This window comes from Homo sapiens, chromosome 17 (assembly GCF_000001405.40).
Source record: "Homo sapiens chromosome 17, GRCh38.p14 Primary Assembly".
Classification (NCBI taxonomy): Eukaryota; Metazoa; Chordata; class Mammalia; order Primates; family Hominidae; genus Homo; species Homo sapiens.
Genome location: NC_000017.11, coordinates 43674542 through 43693543, shown reverse-complemented (window position 1 = coordinate 43693543; position 19002 = coordinate 43674542). Strand labels below are relative to the sequence as shown.

At 51.5% G+C, this 19002-nt stretch overlaps 2 long non-coding RNA genes across 4 annotated transcripts in view, besides 4 other annotated features; one reads left to right on the top strand and one right to left on the bottom strand.

The window, feature by feature from the left end:
- The window catches only part of LINC02594 (long intergenic non-protein coding RNA 2594), a 41895-nt gene that overhangs the window by 13215 nt on the left and 9678 nt on the right, over nucleotides 1-19002 (bottom strand). The window contains exons 1-2 of one of the 2 annotated variants that reach the window (NR_184090.1): nucleotides 14109-14482; nucleotides 13179-13278 (exon numbers count right to left, since the gene is read on the bottom strand). This is a non-coding gene — a long non-coding RNA (long intergenic non-protein coding RNA 2594). Of the gene's footprint in view, nucleotides 1-13178; nucleotides 13279-14108; nucleotides 14483-19002 lie in introns of those variants that run through there. The other variant, NR_184089.1, reaches the window with a different exon arrangement.
- Nucleotides 1951-2451: an enhancer, noted in NCBI's record as "H3K4me1 hESC enhancer chr17:41768461-41768961 (GRCh37/hg19 assembly coordinates)". NCBI's record gives its function as "activates a minimal SCP1, AML or CMV promoter by ChIP-STARR-seq in primed H9 embryonic stem cells {active_cell/tissue: H9 hESC(primed)}" and the evidence as "EXISTENCE:reporter gene assay evidence [ECO:0000049][PMID:30033119]".
- Nucleotides 2452-2952: an enhancer, noted in NCBI's record as "H3K4me1 hESC enhancer chr17:41767960-41768460 (GRCh37/hg19 assembly coordinates)". NCBI's record gives its function as "activates a minimal SCP1, AML or CMV promoter by ChIP-STARR-seq in primed H9 embryonic stem cells {active_cell/tissue: H9 hESC(primed)}" and the evidence as "EXISTENCE:reporter gene assay evidence [ECO:0000049][PMID:30033119]".
- Nucleotides 2781-18554, top strand: LOC107985085 (uncharacterized). 2 transcript variants are annotated; one of them, XR_001752895.2, is made up of 3 exons: nucleotides 2781-2978; nucleotides 16479-16762; nucleotides 18111-18554. It is a non-coding gene; the product is annotated as an uncharacterized LOC107985085 (long non-coding RNA). The 2 variants fall into 2 exon arrangements; XR_001752894.2 differs by lacking the exon at nucleotides 2781-2978 and adding an exon at nucleotides 12452-12539.
- Nucleotides 15245-16009: an enhancer, noted in NCBI's record as "H3K4me1 hESC enhancer chr17:41754903-41755667 (GRCh37/hg19 assembly coordinates)". NCBI's record gives its function as "activates a minimal SCP1, AML or CMV promoter by ChIP-STARR-seq in naive H9 embryonic stem cells {active_cell/tissue: H9 hESC(naive)}" and the evidence as "EXISTENCE:reporter gene assay evidence [ECO:0000049][PMID:30033119]".
- Nucleotides 15629-15748: an enhancer, noted in NCBI's record as "active region_12247". NCBI's record gives its function as "activates an Ori minimal core promoter by ATAC-STARR-seq in GM12878 lymphoblastoid cells {active_cell/tissue: GM12878}" and the evidence as "EXISTENCE:reporter gene assay evidence [ECO:0000049][PMID:35858748]".

Genomic DNA, 19002 nt, shown 5'->3' with positions numbered 1-19002 from the left:
AAATGTCCATAGTGCTGAGGCCCCAAGGCCCTGCTTCCATGAGCACAAAGGACTCCCATTTTTCAGGTCCCCTGAGGGTGGGGGCTCTGCCCTCTTCATCCTCTCTCCCGGGACCTAGCAAGAGGCAGGTGCTCAGTACATACTGCATGACAGAAGTTCAGTGAGGGGCATTTTGAGAAAAATTATCTAATGTGGACACATTTGCAAACCTCCCTAATATGCACAGTCCTGGGTGCATTTCTACATGGCATAGACTGTCTGAAGCTAAAACATCTCATTTGTCAGCTGGACACTACCCAAGTACACCAAACACAACCTGGGAGTCAGGGGAGATAGGGGTGGTAAGGAGGATTCAGACCCCGTAGAAACGGGTTAAACCTCAGCTCCTTCAAGCTGTGTGTCCTTGGGCAAGTTGCATAACTTCTCTGGGCCTTAGTTTCTTCCTCTGTAAAATGAGGCTAACACACCTTCTCACAGGCTGTTGTGAAGGTTAAATGGCATTGTGCGCAAAAAATGATGAGCATGGCCCTGTATGTGCTGATTAAATGTTAGCTATGTGGGCCAGGTGCGGTGGCTCACACCTGTAATCCCAGCACTTTGGGAAGCTGAGGCAGGTGGCTCACAAGGTCAGGAGTTCAAGGCCAGCCTGGCCAACATAGTGAAACCCCCATCTCTACTAAAAATACAATTAGCCGGGCATGGTGGCAGGTGCCTGTAATCCCAGCTACTTAGGAGGCTGAGGCAGGAGAATCGCTTGAACCCAGGAGGCAGAGGCTGCAGTGAACCAAGATCGTGCCACTGCACTCCAGCCTGGGCGACAGAGCAAGACTCCGTCTCAAAAAAAAAAATGTTAGCTGTGATTGGCACCCTCATGACTGAGGTCTGGATTGGTTGGGTGTGGCTGCTGTGCTGCCAGAGACAAGCTATCACTCACATTGTATCTGAACAAGAGTAATGATGGTGCATAATGAATACATTGGGAAGAGGCAGAAGGCCTTGGACTCACTAACTCAAAACCTCCGTAGGAGGGGCCTGGGAATATGCATCTGTAATAAACTCCCGGGCTTTTATTTTTTTGAGATGGCGTTTCTCTCTTGTTGCCCAGGCTGGAGTGCGATGGCGCAATCTCAGCTCACTGCAACCTCCACCTTTGGGGTTCAAGCAATTCTCCTGCCTCAGCCTCCCAAGTAGCTGGGATTACAGGATTACAGGCACCTGCCACCACGCCCGGCTAATTGTTTGTATTTTTAGTAGAGACAGGGTTTCACCATGTTGGCCAGGCTGGTCTCAAACTCCTGACCTCAGGTGATCCACCCACCTCAGCCTCCCAAAATGCTAGGATTACAGGCCCAGGTGATTCTTACAGTTGGGCAAATTTGGAAAATCTGGCTTTAGTACAAAGACTTTGGAGTTAAGCTGCCAGGCTCTGCTACTTACTAACTGGGTGATCTTAGGCAAGCTACTTAACCTCTCTGTGCCTCGATTTCCCCACCTGTTAAGCCCTTGCCCAGCACTACTGCTGGCATCCAGTAGACTCAAGAAATGGCAGCTCCTCCCGCCTCTTTCTCAAGTTTAATGGTGTATGATCTTCACCTTCATCCTCCATACAAGGCCTGCCTTCTGCTCCTGTCATTTCTCTCTGACTCATCCTTTCTCTAAGTCCCCACTGGTCCTTGGTGGGTCTATTTGGTGCCCCTTGGCCTCCTCATGGGCTTCTCTAATTCTTGTCCCCACCATCTCACTGAGTCCATCAAGCAGAAGCAAAAACAGAACATGTGCTGTGGTTTGTAGTTTTCAAGGCATATTTCACATATTTTACCTCATTGACTCTTCCCAGATCATCCTGAAGCATCGCCGTCAGGATCTCTGCAAAATGAGTGAGCTGAGTCTGAAGCTCAGGGTGACTGACTGTCCTGAGCCCCAGAGCAAGAAAACAGGAGCATCTCTGCCTCCCGGCCCTGTGCATTTTCTCCGGTGACCTGAGGCCTCTCAGTTCCTCCCACTGCCCCTAGTCTGATTCGCATCCTGCCCTTCTGCTGCTCAGGAAGCAGCTCTGGCTCCCCAGCGATCAGATCCAAGTGCCTACACCTGGTTTCAAGGCCCATCACAGGCCACAGCTTGGAATCATTCTCCCCCTCCTGGATTTCCTGCATTTCCCAGACTTTCCATCAACCCAGCTGGGCTCCTCTCTGCCTCTCATCCTCCCTGCCTCCCTGCTTGGATGCAAGCTGTCTCCCTGCACAGCACCCCTTATATAGAGTGGATAGCACAGGGAGGAATGGAGGCATGCCATGCCTGGGGTCCCTCCAAACCCCCATGCCTGGCATCACTCCCTCAGCCCCTGCCAGGTCTCCTTCTCCAGGAAGCCTCCCTGCCCTTCAGTGAGTATCCAGTGCTCAGCCAGGCGGTCACAGCCTTTTGCTGCTCCTCTCCTGCCCTGCCCCCACCCCTCACACACACACTGGCCTTTGGTCCCTTTCTGCCCAGCAACTCAATCTTTTGGTGTTATTTGTATTTGTATTACCCTATCTGTCGAAAGGGGTCGGGTGGGGTGGGGGAGAGGGCTGCCACCCCCCATGTGGAGCCCACCGTGAGACCATGAACAGAATGGGGGTGACTGACAGGGCTCCTCTGCCACCTTGGCTGCTGGGGGCAGTGGTAGAAATCACCACTGGCTATTGTGACCTCCAAAGGCACTTGTCACTACACAGTGACACAAAGGTTGGTTTCCGGCTCCTCCCCGTGGCCAGCATATCCCTGGGATCCAAGACAGGTCCGCATCATACTGCCAGGGGATCCTCGGGGTTAGGCACCCAGGAATGGATGGGATGCAGGCAGGGCTGGGACTGGTGGCTGGCTCTATTGTGCTCTGATGCTGCAGGAACAGACCAGATGTCATCCAGGGGCCCGGAATTTGGGGGGCGCCGCTGGGTGTGGCAGCATCAGAAGCCTCAGATCCGCATCTCCATCTGCCACAGGTGAGCTCTATACCTCTGAGCCAGTGGCCTGTGGGAGTGAAATAATCAGAGCCACTTTGAGGTCAGAAGGTACAACAGGGGTGAAGGATTGGGGTGGGGGAGGGGTTGGGGGTCCTGGAGGGCTGGTGCTGTGTTTCTGCCTTCACTCCTGACATCCTCTTGCAGTACAGGGTGAATATTTTTACCCACATCTTGCAGGTGAGAAAATAGAGGCCTGAGAGGCTGTGCTGGGAGTTCACACAAGATTCTTAGTCCTGGCACCACAAGAGTCACATGCCAAGTCCCAGGCTGCATCCAAACCAATTGAATCAAAGCCTCAGGGGAGCGGGACCCAGGCAACAGTATTTTTATGGTCCCCATGTGATTGTGGTAGGGCAGTCAGTGGGGAGAAGGGAGACTAATGGCTCAGACGGCACTTTGCAAACTTTCAAGTTGTGCAAAGTTCCCTTTGTGTCTTTGTGTAGCTCCTAATCCACGCTGAGCCTCCGTCCTCATCTGTAAAATGGGGATAATACGGTTCCTTGAGTTGATGAGTTGAAGTGCTTTCTTAATTAACATTGCAACTTGACCACCCGGCACTCTTGGTTCCCTTTTCCCTGTGTGGAGGGTTTGTTTCTGTTTTGCCATAGCCCTTACCACGTGTGAACATATGATATATTTTACCTATTCAGGATTTTCATTCATCAGTGCTTGACACTCCCCTACCTCTGCTAGAACACCATATGCATGAAGGCCAAGATCTTCATCACTGCTTCACTTTTATTCTTTCCTGTATCCCAAGCACCAAGCAGCACAGTGTTTGGCACACAGTAAAGTGCTTAACAAATAGCTGTTGAATGAATGAATGTGCCTGCCACCATCTCATACATGTTACAGGCATCACTGCTGCTGCTGGGCTTGTGGTCTGGTCTGCAGCCTTCTCGCCTGAACCGCTCACCTCCCAAGCTGCTTGCAAACTGAATAAAGCTCTCCCAAAGTCAAGCTGATCGCTCCTTTCCCTGAGAAACATGCCTCTGTCCCTGCTTCTTGGGGTCTCCCCAGCCCACCATCTCCCCTTGGACACAGAGTGCCAGAGCACTAGCAGGGAGAAGTGGCAAAGTTTCAAGATTTCATTTGTAATTCTTTTCAGATGAAATGTCAGAAATATTAGAAAGGCAGAGTCATAAATCTGATCCTAATATAGCATAGAGCTTATTAATGAAGAATAAATCACCAAGGGAAACCTCCCCGGGGTGCTTCTCCAGGGCCTGTGGGGAAGATGGCATATTTATGTGCAAGCGTAGCGGGTCTTTTACCTTCTCAGATATATGGCCAAGGCAGATTTGTCAGGGCAGTAGCCTTAACATCAGCCAATTATATTTTTTTCTAGTAAAAATTAATCTATTCTATAGAAGTCTCCTAAGCATTTATTGGATTAGGATCACATCCAAATGTAGAAAATTAAACACACACACAGTGCACACCACGGCAGGACTCTGAGAGGCCCTGAAATGGAATGACAACCACCCCCGCCGACCTCTGCTCCCTGCCAAGATATTCTCCCAACTGAAAAACTCAGAGTGAAGGAGCCAGAGGGAACAGCCTCATTGCACAGGTGGAGAAACAAAGGCCCAGAGAGGGGATAGGCCTTGCCCAGGGTCACCCAGATTGCTAAGGCTGACATGAGACAGGAACCCCAGGTCCGGGCTGGGTCTGGTGGCACACACCTGTAATCCCAGCACTTTGGGAGGCTAAGACGGGAGGATTGCTTGAGCCCAGGAGTTTGAGTCCAGCCTGGGCAGCATTAAAAGACCTCCATGTGTACAAAATATTAAAATAATACAAAAATCATCTGGGCATGGTGGTGCACACCTGTAGTCCCAGCTACTCAGGAAGCTGAGGTGGGAGGATCACTTGAGCCCAGGAGGTTGAGGCTGCTGCAGTGAGTCTCAATCACACCACTGCACTCCAGCCTAGGTGACAGAGACCCTGTCTCAAAAAAATGTTAAAAAGAACCCCAGCTCCTTCTTCCCACCTCAAAAGATGTCCACATCCCAATCCCCTAACTGTCCCAATGTGAATATGTTACCTTATGTGGCAAAGGGAACCTTCCAGGTGTGATTAAATTAAGGATATGAGGATGGAGGGATTTATCCTGGACTATCCAGATGGGTCCAATATACTCAAAAGCGTTCTTATAAAGGACAGAGGGAGGCAGGAGAGGCAGAGGAGGAGATGTGATGGCAGAAGCAGAGGCTACAATGACACGGGGCCATGAGCCAAGGAGTGCGGCAGGCTCTAGAGGCTGGAAGAGGCAAGGACCAGATTCTCCCTGGAGCCTGCAGAAGCACTGCAGCCTGCGGGCACCCCGCTTTTCAAACTTCTTCCCTCCACAACTGTCATAGTCCGTCTGTGTTCTCTGAAGCCACTTGGTTTATGGCAGTTTGTTACAGCAGCACTAGGAAACTCACATAGTGTTAGAAGGAGAAGCATTGCCAGGGAAACTGCACCTGGCAGTGTAGGCTTCCCTCTGTACTCAGTGCTAGGGAGGTACCCTTACCCTGAGGGTCACCCCAGATCACCCCAGAGTCATGTGGCTCCTCCTCTCCAGAGGCCACAAGGCCACCACCCCCTGCCTGCTCTTCCCTCATTCATGACGTTCTCACCCTCACGTGCTGGGCTGCAGCGGGGTCTCCCACTGTTTTCTTAGTCCCCCAGACTCCTGCAGCTTTTCTGCAGCCTGACCTCCTTCCAGATGGTTTTCCCTAGTACCTCACCTTTCCCCATCCCTCCTCTCAAAGACGCTAAGGAAAGAGCGACTTGCACCCAGGGCTTTTTCCCGCAGCCCCTCCCTGGTTCTCAGCCACTGTCTTCGGTCACCTCTCACTGCCTCCGGTCACCTCTCACTGCCTCGGGAGCCTCAGAACACCAGCCTCCCCTTCCCATCTCCGCTCTGGGGGCCTGCTCCAGTCTGGTGATTCCTCTCTCCATCTCCCAGCACTTGGGGACAGTTATGTCACTCAGAGAGCTCCCAGGGAAGAACCTGAAGAACAGACCCAGATAGAGGGGAGAGAGGGCAGTGGAACCTTATGGAAAAAGGGGCAGGTAGCCAGTGGCTGTGGTGCAAATGTTCTCGAGTGTGGCCCCCGGCCTGCCTAGCCTGGCTGATGCTTATTAAAAGTGCATATTCGGCCAGGCACAATGGCTCATGCCTGTAATCCTAACACTTTGGGAGGCCGAGGTAAGCGGATCACTTGCAGTCGGGAGTTTGTGATCAGCCTGACCAACATGGTGAAACCCCATCTTTACTAAAAATGCAAAAATTAGCCGGGTGTTGTGGCAGACACCTGTAATCCTAGCTGCTTGGGAGGCTGAGGCAGGAGAATCGCTTGAACTCAGAAGGCAGAGGTTGCAGTGAGCTGAGATCACACCACTGCACTCCAGCCTGGGCAACAGAGTGAGACCCCGTCTGAAAAAAAGAAAATGCATATTCTGGCTGGTGACGATGGCACATACCTGTAATCCCAGCACTTTGGGAAGCTGAGGCAGGAGGATCACTTGAGCCCAGGAATTTTAGTCCGGCCTGGGCAACATGTCGAAACCCTGTCTCTACAAAAAGCACAAAAATTATCTGGGTGTGGTAGCACACACCTGTGGTCCCAGCTACTCAAGAGGCTGAGGTGAGAGGATTGCTTGAGTCCAGGAGATTGAGGCTGCAGTGAGCTGTAATCAGGCCACTGCACTCCAGCCTGGGCAACCAAGCAAGATCCTGTCTCAAAAAAAAAAAAAAAAAAAAAAAAGGCCGGGCACGGTGGCTCACGCCTATAATCCCAGCACTTTGGGAGGCCAAGGCAGGTGGATCACGAGGTCAGGAAATCAAGACCATCCTGGCTAACACGGTGAAACCCCATCTCTACTAAAAATACAAAAAATTAGCCGGGCGTGGTGGCAAGTGCCTGTAGTCCCAGCTACTTGGGAGCCTGAGGCAGGAGAATGGCATGAACCTGGGAGGCAGAGCTTGCAGTGAGCCGAGATCGTGCCACTGCACTCCAGCCTGGGTGACAAAGCAAGACTCTGTCTCAAAAAAAAAAAAAAAGGTCAGGCTTGGTGGCTCATGCCTGTAATCCTAGCACTTTGGGAGGCCAAAGCAGGCGGGGCTGATCACCTGAGGTCAGGAGTTCAAGACCAGCCTGACCAACACGAAGAAACCCCATCTCTACTAAAAATACAAAATTAGCCTGGTATGGTGGCACATGCCTGTAATCCCAGCTCCTCAGGAGGCTGAGGCAGAAGAATCGCTTGGACCTGGGAGGGGGAGGTTGCGGTGAGCCGAGATCGCACCATTATACTCCAGCCTGGGCAACAAGAGCAAAACTCGGTCTCAAAAAAAAAAAAGTGCATATTCTAGTTGGGCATAGTGGCTCATGGCTGTAATCCCAAAAATTTGGGAGGCCAAGGTGGGAGGATCTCTTGAGACCTGAAGTTAAAGATCAGCCTGGGCAACATCACAAGACCCCAACTCCAGAAAAAATTTAAAAATTAGCCAGACATGGTGGCGTGCACCTGTAGTCCCAGCTACTTAGGAGGCTGAGATAGGAGGATCGCTCGAACCCAGAAGTTTGAGATTGCAGTAAGCTATGATTGCACCACTGCACTCCAGCCTGGACAACGAGACCCTGTCTCTAGAAAAAAAAAAAAAGGCACGTATTCCTGGACACCCCTCTCACCAATAAACACATCCTTGCCAGAGCAGAATCTCTGAGAGTGGGCCCAGGAGTCTTCAGTCTACCATGCTGCTGGGATGTGTCTTATACAAAAATCAGGAAGTAGGCCGAGCACAGTGGCTCGTGCTTGTAATCCCAGCACTTTGGGAGGCCAAGGCAAGCGGATCACCTGAGGTCAGGAGTTCGAGACCAGCCTGGCCAACACGGTGAAACCCTGTCTCTATTAAAAACACAAAAAATTAGCCAGGCATGGTAGCGGGCGCCTGTAGTCCCAGCTACTCGAGAGGCTGAGGCAGGAGAATTGCTTGAACCCAGGAGGCAGAGACTGCAGTGAGCCAAGTTTGTGCCACTGCACCCCAGCCTAGACAACAGAGTGAAACTCCGTCTCAAAAAAAAAAAAAAAAAAAAAAAATCAGGAAGTAGAAAGAGAATGGACTTTGAAGTCAGGGAGCTCTGGGCTGAACTCCTAGCTTTCCCCACCTCCTAGTTGTGGGAATGCTCTTTATCTTCTCCAAACCTGTGTTCTCTTCCATAAAGCTGGGGGCTCTGATCTGCATGTGGCGGGAATTATGAGGATTCAGATAAACAGGGAAAGCACAGAGGCAGATGCTGCGGACGCCCTCCCGCATCTTCTGGGGGTCCCCTCATCCTGGAGCCCAACGGACCTAACTTCTGACAGCCTGAGGGCCCCTGGGAGTGCTGAAGAATGAGTGTCCCACCCACTCCATCCAGCAGCCTTAACAAAGGACGGGGATGGAGTTGGTGTATAAGTACCCGCTCCCTCATCCTTCCAGTGGGATAACTCTGAGGTGCAGGTTCCATGCTGGCTCCTGAGTTTCCCAGCAAAATTAAGCTTCCGTCACCCGCCGGGGTGCCCTTCCTGACAACACGCCCCTGTAAGCTGCCTTCCTTCCCTGGGTCACCTCCCTACCCTCCTACTGGAGCTTCCTGTGAGCATCCCTCAAACAAACAACTTGCCCTCAAGTACTTGTCTCAGGTCAGCTCCTGCGGGACCCCAGGCTAACATAAGCCTGGCAGCCTGGAAATGAGCCTTTTTTTTGAGACAGTGTCTTGCTCTGTCGCCCATGCTGGAGTGCGGTGGCACAATCACAGCTCACTGTAGCCTCAACCTCCCGAGCTCAAGCCATCTTCCCACCTCAACCTCCAGAGTACCACCATTCCTGGGTAATTGTTCTCTATTTTTTGTAGAGACGGGGATTTCGCCATGTTGCCCAGGCTGGTCTCAAACTCCTGGGCTCAAGGGATCCACCCGCCTCGGCCTCTCAAAGTGCTGGAATTACAGGCAGGAGCCACCACGCCTAGCCGTGAGTTCTTTTTCCTCTCCTCGTCTTTGACTGTCAGTGTGGAGACCAGGTTGGCCCAGACCAAGCAAAGCCACCAGAGGGCCTGGATAGTGCTGTGGCTTGCAGGGATACATAGACACTGATGTCCGGGACCCAGCAAGGACAGTGTCCCCTGACTGTAAGGATGCCATCGAAGTCCCAGGAAAGGCAGCTCACCCTTCCCTTCCCCAGATCCCCAGTATCTGCTAGTCAGGAAGCAGAGCTATAGGCCCATCCACAAGAATCCCCTAATCCCACATCCCTCAGTCTGAAATTGGCCCTAACCACAACTTTCCCTATCTTCATCTTTCTTTCCTAGTTCCTCAGACACAAAGCAAACAGCCACTTCCCCGCTCCTCAGAGACACCTTGCCTCTAAATCTTGAAACTGCCAAGCCCCAGCTGGCTAGGCCACTGGCCACATGAATTCTAGTCCCCAGGGGCACTGAAGTCACCTCCCAGAGAAATCCCTATGATTTCATCTTCTATTTAATCTTTATTTCTCCTCATACTTTTCAGAACTTCAAATAATTTCTCGTTTGTAGTAACTAGGAAGCCATAAATCGCCCCTTTATGTCTAAGGAAAATCAATTGTTATTTGACATTTTACCTTAATATTCCCGACTTCCTTCAACTGTAATAAAGCTTCCATCTGCCTTTTATTTTACAGGCAATTAGTAAGTCACCTTTTTAAAATTTCTCCACATTTTCTATCAAATGAATGCTAGGATTGAAAGGGGAGAGCTGTTTTATGGGATTGAACTCACTGAGTAGAAGGGATTTATCTGTAGCCTTCGAGGTACCAACACTCATTAATGGGTTTTATTGATTTGGGGGCTTTTTAACCCTTAGCAATAATACAGGTGTCACCTGCCCAAGGCAGTTGGGAGGGGGCAGGGATGCTGGGAGGGGCTGTGAGGGAGTCCACACATTTCTGAGCCCTGGGCCCAAGCTAGAAAGGCAGAGAAATGAGATCTAACCCTTTGAAGTGTGATCACGCTCAGTGCAACCACACCCTCAGAGGTAAATCATAGCCCAGACACCCTCTTTTTCCTGGAGACAAAGTTGGAGTTTTTTGGGTTTTTTCTTCAAATTACCCAGGGGAATGCAATGCTTTTGCACCCCTATCATGGGATCAAAAGAAAGAGGCCCATTGTTGGGGTTCAAGGCCCTGGGCTTGGTCTGCCTCTTTTAGCCCTGGGGTTGTGGGCAGGCCAGGGAAGGAACCTCTGAGACTCAGTTTCCTACGATGTGAAGTGGAGAGAAGAATCTCCTCTTTAGCCACCTCTCAGGGCTGCTGGTGTTCGCCCCCAGACCACGTCTGTGAGAAATGCTTAGAAGACTATGCAGGGCGTAAGAAACTACATAAGGAACCAATGAGAATCCTAGTCACAAATGGAAACCTCAGTCCACAAACTCCAGAACGAAACCTTCCTTGCTTTTCTAGAACTCATCTTATGGGTTCTGTACCCCCCATTGCCTGGGCTGGTGGAACTCTGGTGCCAGTCTTTCCCTAGCAATTTCTCCAAAACCCCCCACGGCCTTTTCCACCATTCCCCTTCCTTGAAGGCCGCCATTTGACACTCAGAGCCCAGGAAGCCTTTCTTGGTCCAGACAGCAGGACTGGAAGCCTTAGAGCTGTCGGCAAGAGATGTGAGTCCTGTAGCTGAGGACAGTCCAGGCAGAGTATGAATAAGACGGCAAAAGTAAGTCCAGAAGACATTAATGGTAGACTTTGGGTGGCAGGTGTATGGGTGCTCACTATAAAATCTTTTCAACATTGCTATACACTTGAAATTTTTCATTAAAATGTTAGAAGGGAAAAAAAAGGCTTATTCTGGGGCAAATCCCCCAAGGTAGGGTACCCGCCTGTGATGGGAGAAAGGAACGAATGTGAGCAGAGGAGGAAGGCAAGGGGCCCTCTGAATCTAGACGAATTTGTTTGTGGGACCTGCTACGTTATTTGTGGGCCCAGTGCAAAATGAAAATTTGGGGCCCTTCCTTCATAAATTAAGAATATCAGCTAGGCACGGTGGTTCATGCCTGTAATCCCAGCACTTTGTGGGGCCGAGGTGGGTGGATCACCTGCGATCAGGAGTTCGAGACCAGCCAGCCTGGCCAACATGGTGAAACCCCGTCTCTACTAAAAATACAAAAATTAGCTGAGTGTGGTGGTACATGCCTGTAATCCCAGCTACTCAAGGAGCTGAAGCAGGAGAATTGCTTGAACCCAGGAGGCAGAGATTGCAGTGAGCTGAGATCACGCCATTGTACTTTATCTTGGGTGACAATAGTGAAACTCCATTTCCAAAAAAAAAAGAAAAAAAAAACAGTATCAAGATGGGACAGCAAAGCATTAAACTACGTGCCTTTCTTATCTTAGAGCCCTGGGTCCTGCATGGTTGCCCGGCCATGAAGCCAGCCCTGTCTGCTTGGGTTGAGAGGTCTATTTTGACCAACCCCTTCTGACCCATCTCTCCATTTCTAATCTTACAAGAACAATACACTGAACCTAGCATTTGATGCAAGTGAACAATAAGTGAGTAGGTTGGGACCTTTTCTTTTTTTCTTTCTTTCTTTCTTTTTTTTTTTTTTTTTGAGATGGAGTCTCACTCTGTTGCCCAGGCTGGAGTGCAGTGGCGTGATCTCAGCTCACTGAAACCTCTGCCTCCCGGGTTCAAGCGATCCTTCTGCCTTAGCCTCCTGAGTAGCTGGGACTACAAGCACGCACCACTATACCGGCTAATGTCTTTTGTATTTTTAGTAGAGATGGGGTTTCACCATGTTGGCCAGGCTGGTCTCTAACTCTTGACCTCGTAATCTGCCCACCTCAGCCTCCCAAAGTGCTGGGATTACAGGTGTGAGCCACCACGCCCAGCCAACCTTTCTAATAATAATAATATTTACTGCTCACATGGCCTTCACCGTATGCCAGGCACTGATTCAGCACCCCATGGACATTAACTCATTCAAGCCTCCCAGCAACCCTGTGAGACAGGACTATTGTTACTCCCATTTCACAGATGAAAACTCAGAGGCACAGAGAGAATAGGTCACTTGCCTAAGCTCTCAGAGCTGGTAAGCGGTAGAGACGAGCTTTGCTCCCAGGTAGCTGGGCTCCAGAATCATGCTTTTAACCACTCCACTCTGCCGCCTCTCCAAAAAGATAGTCAGGACAAGCCTGACAGAGATGGCCCCCTGGATGGAATTTTTGCTGGTCCCAGGAGGGCAACCTTCTTGGCATGGCTATAGCGCTCAGTGCTTCTCAACTGCAAGGTCACCACACACCATCTTGAACTGAGTCACAGGTGTCACATTACTAGTCAGAAAGAAGCAAAGTCTGTGAATAATTAAACTTTTTAAAAAATGAAATCAGATTCAAGCAGTGTCCTCTCACATATTTGTATCTTAACTGGCTTTTCAGACTGCAGGAACAGCCAGCACCAGAGATATCTCCTGCAAGGCCTCCTAGGTGGGTTCTTGGAAGAAAGGAATGCCAATGAATATGATTGCAAGGTGAGGCAGGGCAGGAGACGCAAGAACTGCACCGCTAACCTTATTAATAGGGATTGAAGAGTGCTGAATTTATAAAAACAATGCTTTTGGTTTCACAGGCTCCCGCTCTCATTACACCCGCCCCAGGACACCACGGACACCTGGTAGCCACCAGTGGAATTGCAGGCTTAGTGTCCAGAAGGGTCTTTCTCACATTAGCTAGAGACGAGAGAAGCGGCGTCCTCAACTCCAAGAATCCCGTATTCCCCAACCCACATCCTTCAGTCTGAAAGTGCCCCTAACCACTACTTTCCCTACCACGTCTCCCTTTCCAAGTTCCTCAAACGCAAAGCAAACAGCCATTTCCTGCACCTGTGTGCAGTCGTAGCAGTACGTAGGAGATCCAATATGCCTGGGTGAGTCAGGAGAACTCCCTGAGATCATGGCCCTTGAGAATGGGTAGGAAATGGCCAGGGAGACAATAGGGGAAGGGCATCCTCAGAAAGAGGGGACAGATTTGGGGGCACGCCTTGTAAGAAAGAGCTCCAGGATGCACCCGTGATTATTGTTTCATTTTACCCTCACAAACAACCTTGCCAGGGAGATAGTATTGCTCACATTTTAAGGTGTGGAAGTAAAGATTCAGGAAAATGAGCTTACCTGCCCAAAGTGATCTGACAGGTAAGTGGCAGGGCCGTCTTGTCTGATGTGAGTTGAGGAGGATTTCAGCTGGTAGAGTTCGGGAGTAATTCTGGATCACCTGGGGAAAACAATAAACATACAGGGCGGCTTTCAAGTGCTCGCACTACCCTTGGCACCGAAGCCTGCCCAGTCCTTGGGGCACAGCCAGGAGGATGAGGGCCCTTCCTACCAAGGTGGCTGCCACCGACTGGCTGGGCTGCACTGCATGCAGGCCAGAGGGCCGGAAAGATGAGATTTACGATGGCCATGGCCTTCACGACTTAATGGTCAGGAGTTGAGCTATTTTATCTTATCAGACAGTTTTGCCTAGAAATAGCCACAGACCTTCATTCCAGGATGGCTTTTAGTCATGAGGGGGTGACCTGCAGGTCTCCTAAATCATGTTAATTCCCAGGGCAGCAGGCTGTGCTTTCTTTTCTCTGCAGTGTCTTTCACCATTCCCCAGCCATTTGCTTCTCTGAAGGAAAGTCTCTCCGGGGCCAGCAATGTTGAGGAATGCAGGGTGTAGGGGAGCAGAAAGGCCACTCTGGTGTGGCCTGACTTGGGACCATCTGTCCACTCAGACAGAGCTCAGCAAACGGTCAAGGAGCTGAGAATCGGCTCAGTCCCTCCCTCTCCCTCTCACTCTCTTCTTCCCTCTTTCCCCTCCCCACTCTCTCAGCCCCTCACCTAGCTAGCTGCCCCTCCCTTACCTCGCAGGACCCCCTGGGATGGAACTGCTTGCTGAGCAGTTCTGATGAAGGCAGGACCCTTTCCTCTCTGTGGACTCAGTCCACAGTGTCTGTAGACACTGGCCCTCCAGAGGACCAGTGTGTGAGGGGGTGTTGCCAGCCTCTGTTTCTCCTGAGCCCTCCTCCCAAGTGCAAGTATGAGAACTCCTCTCCACACCTTCCTGCGTGTCCAGGGGCTTCCTTTAGGGTTCTAGGAGTCCCAAGACATCATGGGTAGGCAGCAGATGGAGAAAGAGCAGAATGTTCCATCCAGGCCAGGCACAGTGACTCACGTCTGTAATCCCAGCACTTTGGGAGGCCGAGGCAGCAGATCACTTGAGGCCAGAAGTTGGAGACCAGCCTGATGGAGTAGAAACTCCATCTCTACTAAAAATACAAAAATTAGCCAGATGTGGTGGCCCACGCCTGTAATCCCAGCTACTTGGGAGGCTGAGGCAGGAGAATTGCTTGAACCCGGGAGGTGGAGGCTGCAGCGACTTTGATATTGCGCCACTGCACTCCAGCTCTGGATGACAGAGCGAGACTCCGTCTCAAAAAAAAAAAAAAAAAAAAGAATGTCCCATCATCCAATGGCAGGACCCTGGGCACACGCCATGGGACAGTCTCAGTCATAGCCACTGGCTGGGACAACTCCAGCAAACAGTGTCTTCACTGGTCCTTCTCACCATCCACCCACCGGCTTTTCTTGACTCATGGAGGGGTCTTGCAGACCCCTTCCCCAGATCTGATTCCTAGGTCTGGGATCCCCCCAGCACCCTCGCTCACTCTTCATTCCCCTGGAGGTCCCACCCCACACCCTCTTGACTCTCCAAGGAGTGAAAAGCTCCTTTCACTTTCACCTTGATATTCTGTTAAAAGCCAAATCCAAATCGTTAGCAACAGAAGCCAGCTGCCCTTCTCTAAAAGCCGGAGGGCCGGTCCTCAAACCCCTCCTGGGGGGTGAGATACTTTTGTATCCTACCTGGCTGGAGTCATGCCTTCCCCTCACCCTCAACCCCCAGAATAGGCAATAAATAAAATGAAAGTTTTCTAATGCAGTAAATAAAAGGAAGAAAACTGGAGCAGACCAGATTCTGTTTTATTTCCTAATAAAACAGAGGCTGTCTCCTGACAGTCCCCAGAGGGCCCACCACCTCATGATGTATTAGTAACACACCAGCTGCCTTGCAACAAGACTTGGTTATCATTTACCTTTATAAGGAGGCTTCTCAGATCTCATCTCACCATGTGAGTTGGGCATTATTAATAATCGCTACCATTAAACATACCTACAATGTGCTGGGTGCTTTCTATACGGTATTCTATGCAATCCTTACACCGACCCTGAAGTGTAGGCGCTATTATTTCCACTTCACAGGTAGTGCTCTGAGGTTCATTAGCTTTCTTAAGGTCATGCAGCTAAAAAAAAATGACAAAGTGAATCCAGGTGGGTCCTCACTCCTGTGGGGCCCCAGGGAACTTCCGGCTGATTTCTGGGGCGTTTGCGCGCAGAGCGAGACTTGGCCAGCAGAGGGCGCCAGCGCCCCGCCAAGGCAGTGGGAGACCGGCGGGAAGGCGGCTGTGAGGCCTGGGCTAGTTTCGGCTTAGAGACTGCAGCCTCTAGACTCAGCACGCAGAGCTCGGACCAGTGGGACCCAAGGCTTCTCTCTCGGAGACTGCCCTGGAGCCAAAGTCTGTGGGCAGAGGAGGGCCAAACACTGCCTGGGCCTTTATTTTGCATCCAGAAACAGGGTGCTCTGGATAGCGGCAGCCCCCACCCGCTGAGCGAGCTCAGGCTGGTTGCAAGGAGAGAAAAAGGAGGTGGCTGTCCCCGTCCTGCGACCTGGGTTCTGGTCCCAGTGGGCCGTGGGAAAGCTGAGACTTTCTCCGTGCCTCTGTTTCCCCATCTGTAAAATCGCAGGATTTGTGCGCCGCAGACTCCAGAGTCCATGGTGGGGGGCGGGGCGTGGTCCTCTCCCATTTCAGAAAACCTATCTTAAGAGGCACATCTAGGAGGCTGCCTAGAGTGACCAAGGTACCAGGGGCTGAGCACCCTGCAGACATTGGTGATCTCTGGTTGATCCAAAACGAAGAAGCCTCCCTGCGTGTCGATATGGGAAAGAGAATTGATATGCAAATACATGCAGCTTCTTTGGTAAATAAGAATATCAAATCAGAGTCTATGAGAGTTGGGGGCTGGGGTCGGTGGTCAGAGATGGGATCCCCAGGCCTGTAGGGCCTTTCTTCCTTTCCAGCTCTCCAAGCCCTGCCAGTCTTTCCTCCTCAACCTTCTCTCTTGCCTAAAGAGAAATTGTCATGAGCCTGCTAATCGTGAAAGGTTCTGTGCCTTCCCTGCTGCCAAACCCATCAAACCTATTTACCAGAAATGGCTTTGTTCTAAGAGGAACAAAATGAGGCTCAAGGGTGAGGGTCCACAGGTCTGGCCCCCAGATGCACCCTGGAGCAATGAGGGCCCCCGGGGCAGGGACTTTTACCAGCCTTCCCTGGTGGAGGCAAGATTCACAGTGCAAACTCTTCTCCAATGCAGGGACAGATGACCAAACCTTGCAGACAGCAGCGGGAGCTGGAGGGACTTTGTTGAGGACTGGGACCCAGGTGTGGTTGCTGCAATGCCCTCTGCTTTGGCAGAGAAAAGATGCAGATTCCCAGGTCACACCAAGTGACCTCTCCAGAACCTGGAACAGCCTCTGTGTGGACTGCCATGGGAGAGCTGGAGCCACCACAGAATCTTGCTCACCCCAGGGAGGTGGCAGCAATAGGATCATCATGACTTTTCACCTTGACCTTTCACCACAGCCTGACCCCTCCAAGGTGGGAGTGAGCACAATGGCACAGGGGTTGGGGGTCTGTGTCCGAGTAGGAGGGGTGTTTAAACGGGAAGTAAGAGAGCATTGCAGAGAATGTTAACTGCCCCTCTCTTCTGTTTGCCAAGCCCATTTGGCTTCATGCTGTCTCCAGCCTCAGGAGTCAGGAGGCTCTGAAATGTCTAAATGTCACATGGCTTGACCACAGCCAGGGAGGGGCAAAGCCAGGCATTGAGGTTTCTTTTCTGATTCCCAAGAAGAAGGAAGGAGGGCGGGAGACAATAATTTAAAAAAAAAAAAAAAAGAGAGAGAGAGCAAGACTTGTTAGAGGCCACGAGGAGTCTCAGGCCAGAGGTGTCTCTCCCCAAACCCGGGATGGGAGGGAGCTGGGGGCCACCCTGCCCTCCTGCTCTTTCTTCTGCCCTGGGATTTAATTGCTCTGCAAGTTCAGTGAGCTGTTCACTGACAACACTGGGGGCTCTGGGCTGCTCAGACTCAGACACAGGTGTGCCCTCCCCGCTGAATTTATGAGACCCCAGACTTAGGGGGCCTCAGGGCAGTAATTCAAGGCAAATCCTAGAGACCTGTTGAACCCATGGCTACTCAGCAGCAGAATTCCCTAGGAAGCATTAGAAAGCTACAGACTGCTCCGGGCTTCTGCAGGCTCAACCCTCTGCCTCCTGCTACCTGCCCCTCCCTGCCTACAGCAGCCCCCCTCAGAGCATTTCTCTCCCCCCATCACTAACTGCCTGTCTCCCACCACCCCCTTTAGGACCGTCCCTCCTCCAGCCCATCCTTGGAGCTGCCCAGTTCCCTGTGAAATGCTCCTCCCCACCTCGCCACCAACATCAGCCCCTCTGTTGCCCTCTGTACCCCATACTGGGCATTCTGGCTCTCAGCCCTTCTAACATTCTCTTTCCTTGCTTTCCATCAGAACTTTCCCCTTGAGCCAAACTGCTTTGTTCCTGTTCTGCATTGCCCTGGCTTCTGGATGCCTTGTGCACCCTTTTGCTTTGTTCTTTCCCAGCCCTACACAGGCCTGCATGCGCGCGCGTGCACACACACACACACACACACACACACACACACACACCCTGCCTACTGCTCACACACTTTCCTCCTCCTCTGAGTCTCCTGAGCCCTCTCCCTTTTTCAAGTCCCTGCTCCAGCCCCACCCTCCCTGGGCCTGCCCAGGCCAGCCCTGTCCGGGAGACCTCTCCTCTTTGAATGGCAGTGCCTGCGTCCTCATCTGTTCCACGCCCTCCCCAAGTTCATTCTCTTCCTCCAGAGCTAGCCAGACCTCCCAAAGAGCCCTGGCAGGAGCTCCCAAAGTAAGAGTTTCTTTGATCTCCTAGGTAGCTGCTCAATGCCAGTTTGTGGATCGACATGTGATTCTTACATTTGCAACAACATCTTCTGTGAGTAGCCTGCTCCCCCAGCACGAGGAAAATGAGACTGATCCTGAGAGGATTTGATTCGTGCATTCTGGAGGGACAAGCCTGCCTGGAAAAGTCTCCTGCAGGAGAGGCAGACCAGGCTGCCCCAACCTGAGTGTGGACTCCAGCCCTGGGCTGCCGGGCTATATGTCCTCCCATGTACCCACTACCCTCACCCAGTCTCAGCAGCGACTCAGAATCTCTGTCTGGGTCTGGTCCACCACCTTCCCCTATCTGGACTTGAACTCCTTCAGGGCTGGCACAGTGACCCATCATCCTATCATGCCCACAGTGACCTGCTGGGTGCTGTGAGATGTCAGTTTGGGCCCTGCTGTGTGCACCAACTTCACTGGTGATACTGTTACCACCTTAAGGGTCAGAGAGGTTTAAGAACTCACCCAAAGTCACCCAGCCAGTAAATGGCTCAGTTGGGGTTCAAACCCAAGTCTATAAGATGCCAGATCCCCTGGTCCATCCAGACACCTGACTGCATCTCGTACATTGCACACAGTAGATGTAAACAATACAAACGTCTACAGAAGTCAGGGACTGGGCGCGGTGCTTCACACCTGGAATCCCAGCATTTCAGAGGCCAAGGTTGGTGGATCGCTTGAGCCTAGGAGTTTGAGACCAGCTGGGCAACATGGTGAGACCCCGTCTCTACAAAAAGTACAAAAATTAGCCAGGTGTGATGGTGCACACCTGTGGTCCCTCATACTGGGAGGCTGAGGTTGGAGGATCACTTGAAGTTGAGGTCAAGGCTACAGTGAGCCGAGATTGCATCACTGTACTCCAGCCTGCGGGACAGAGC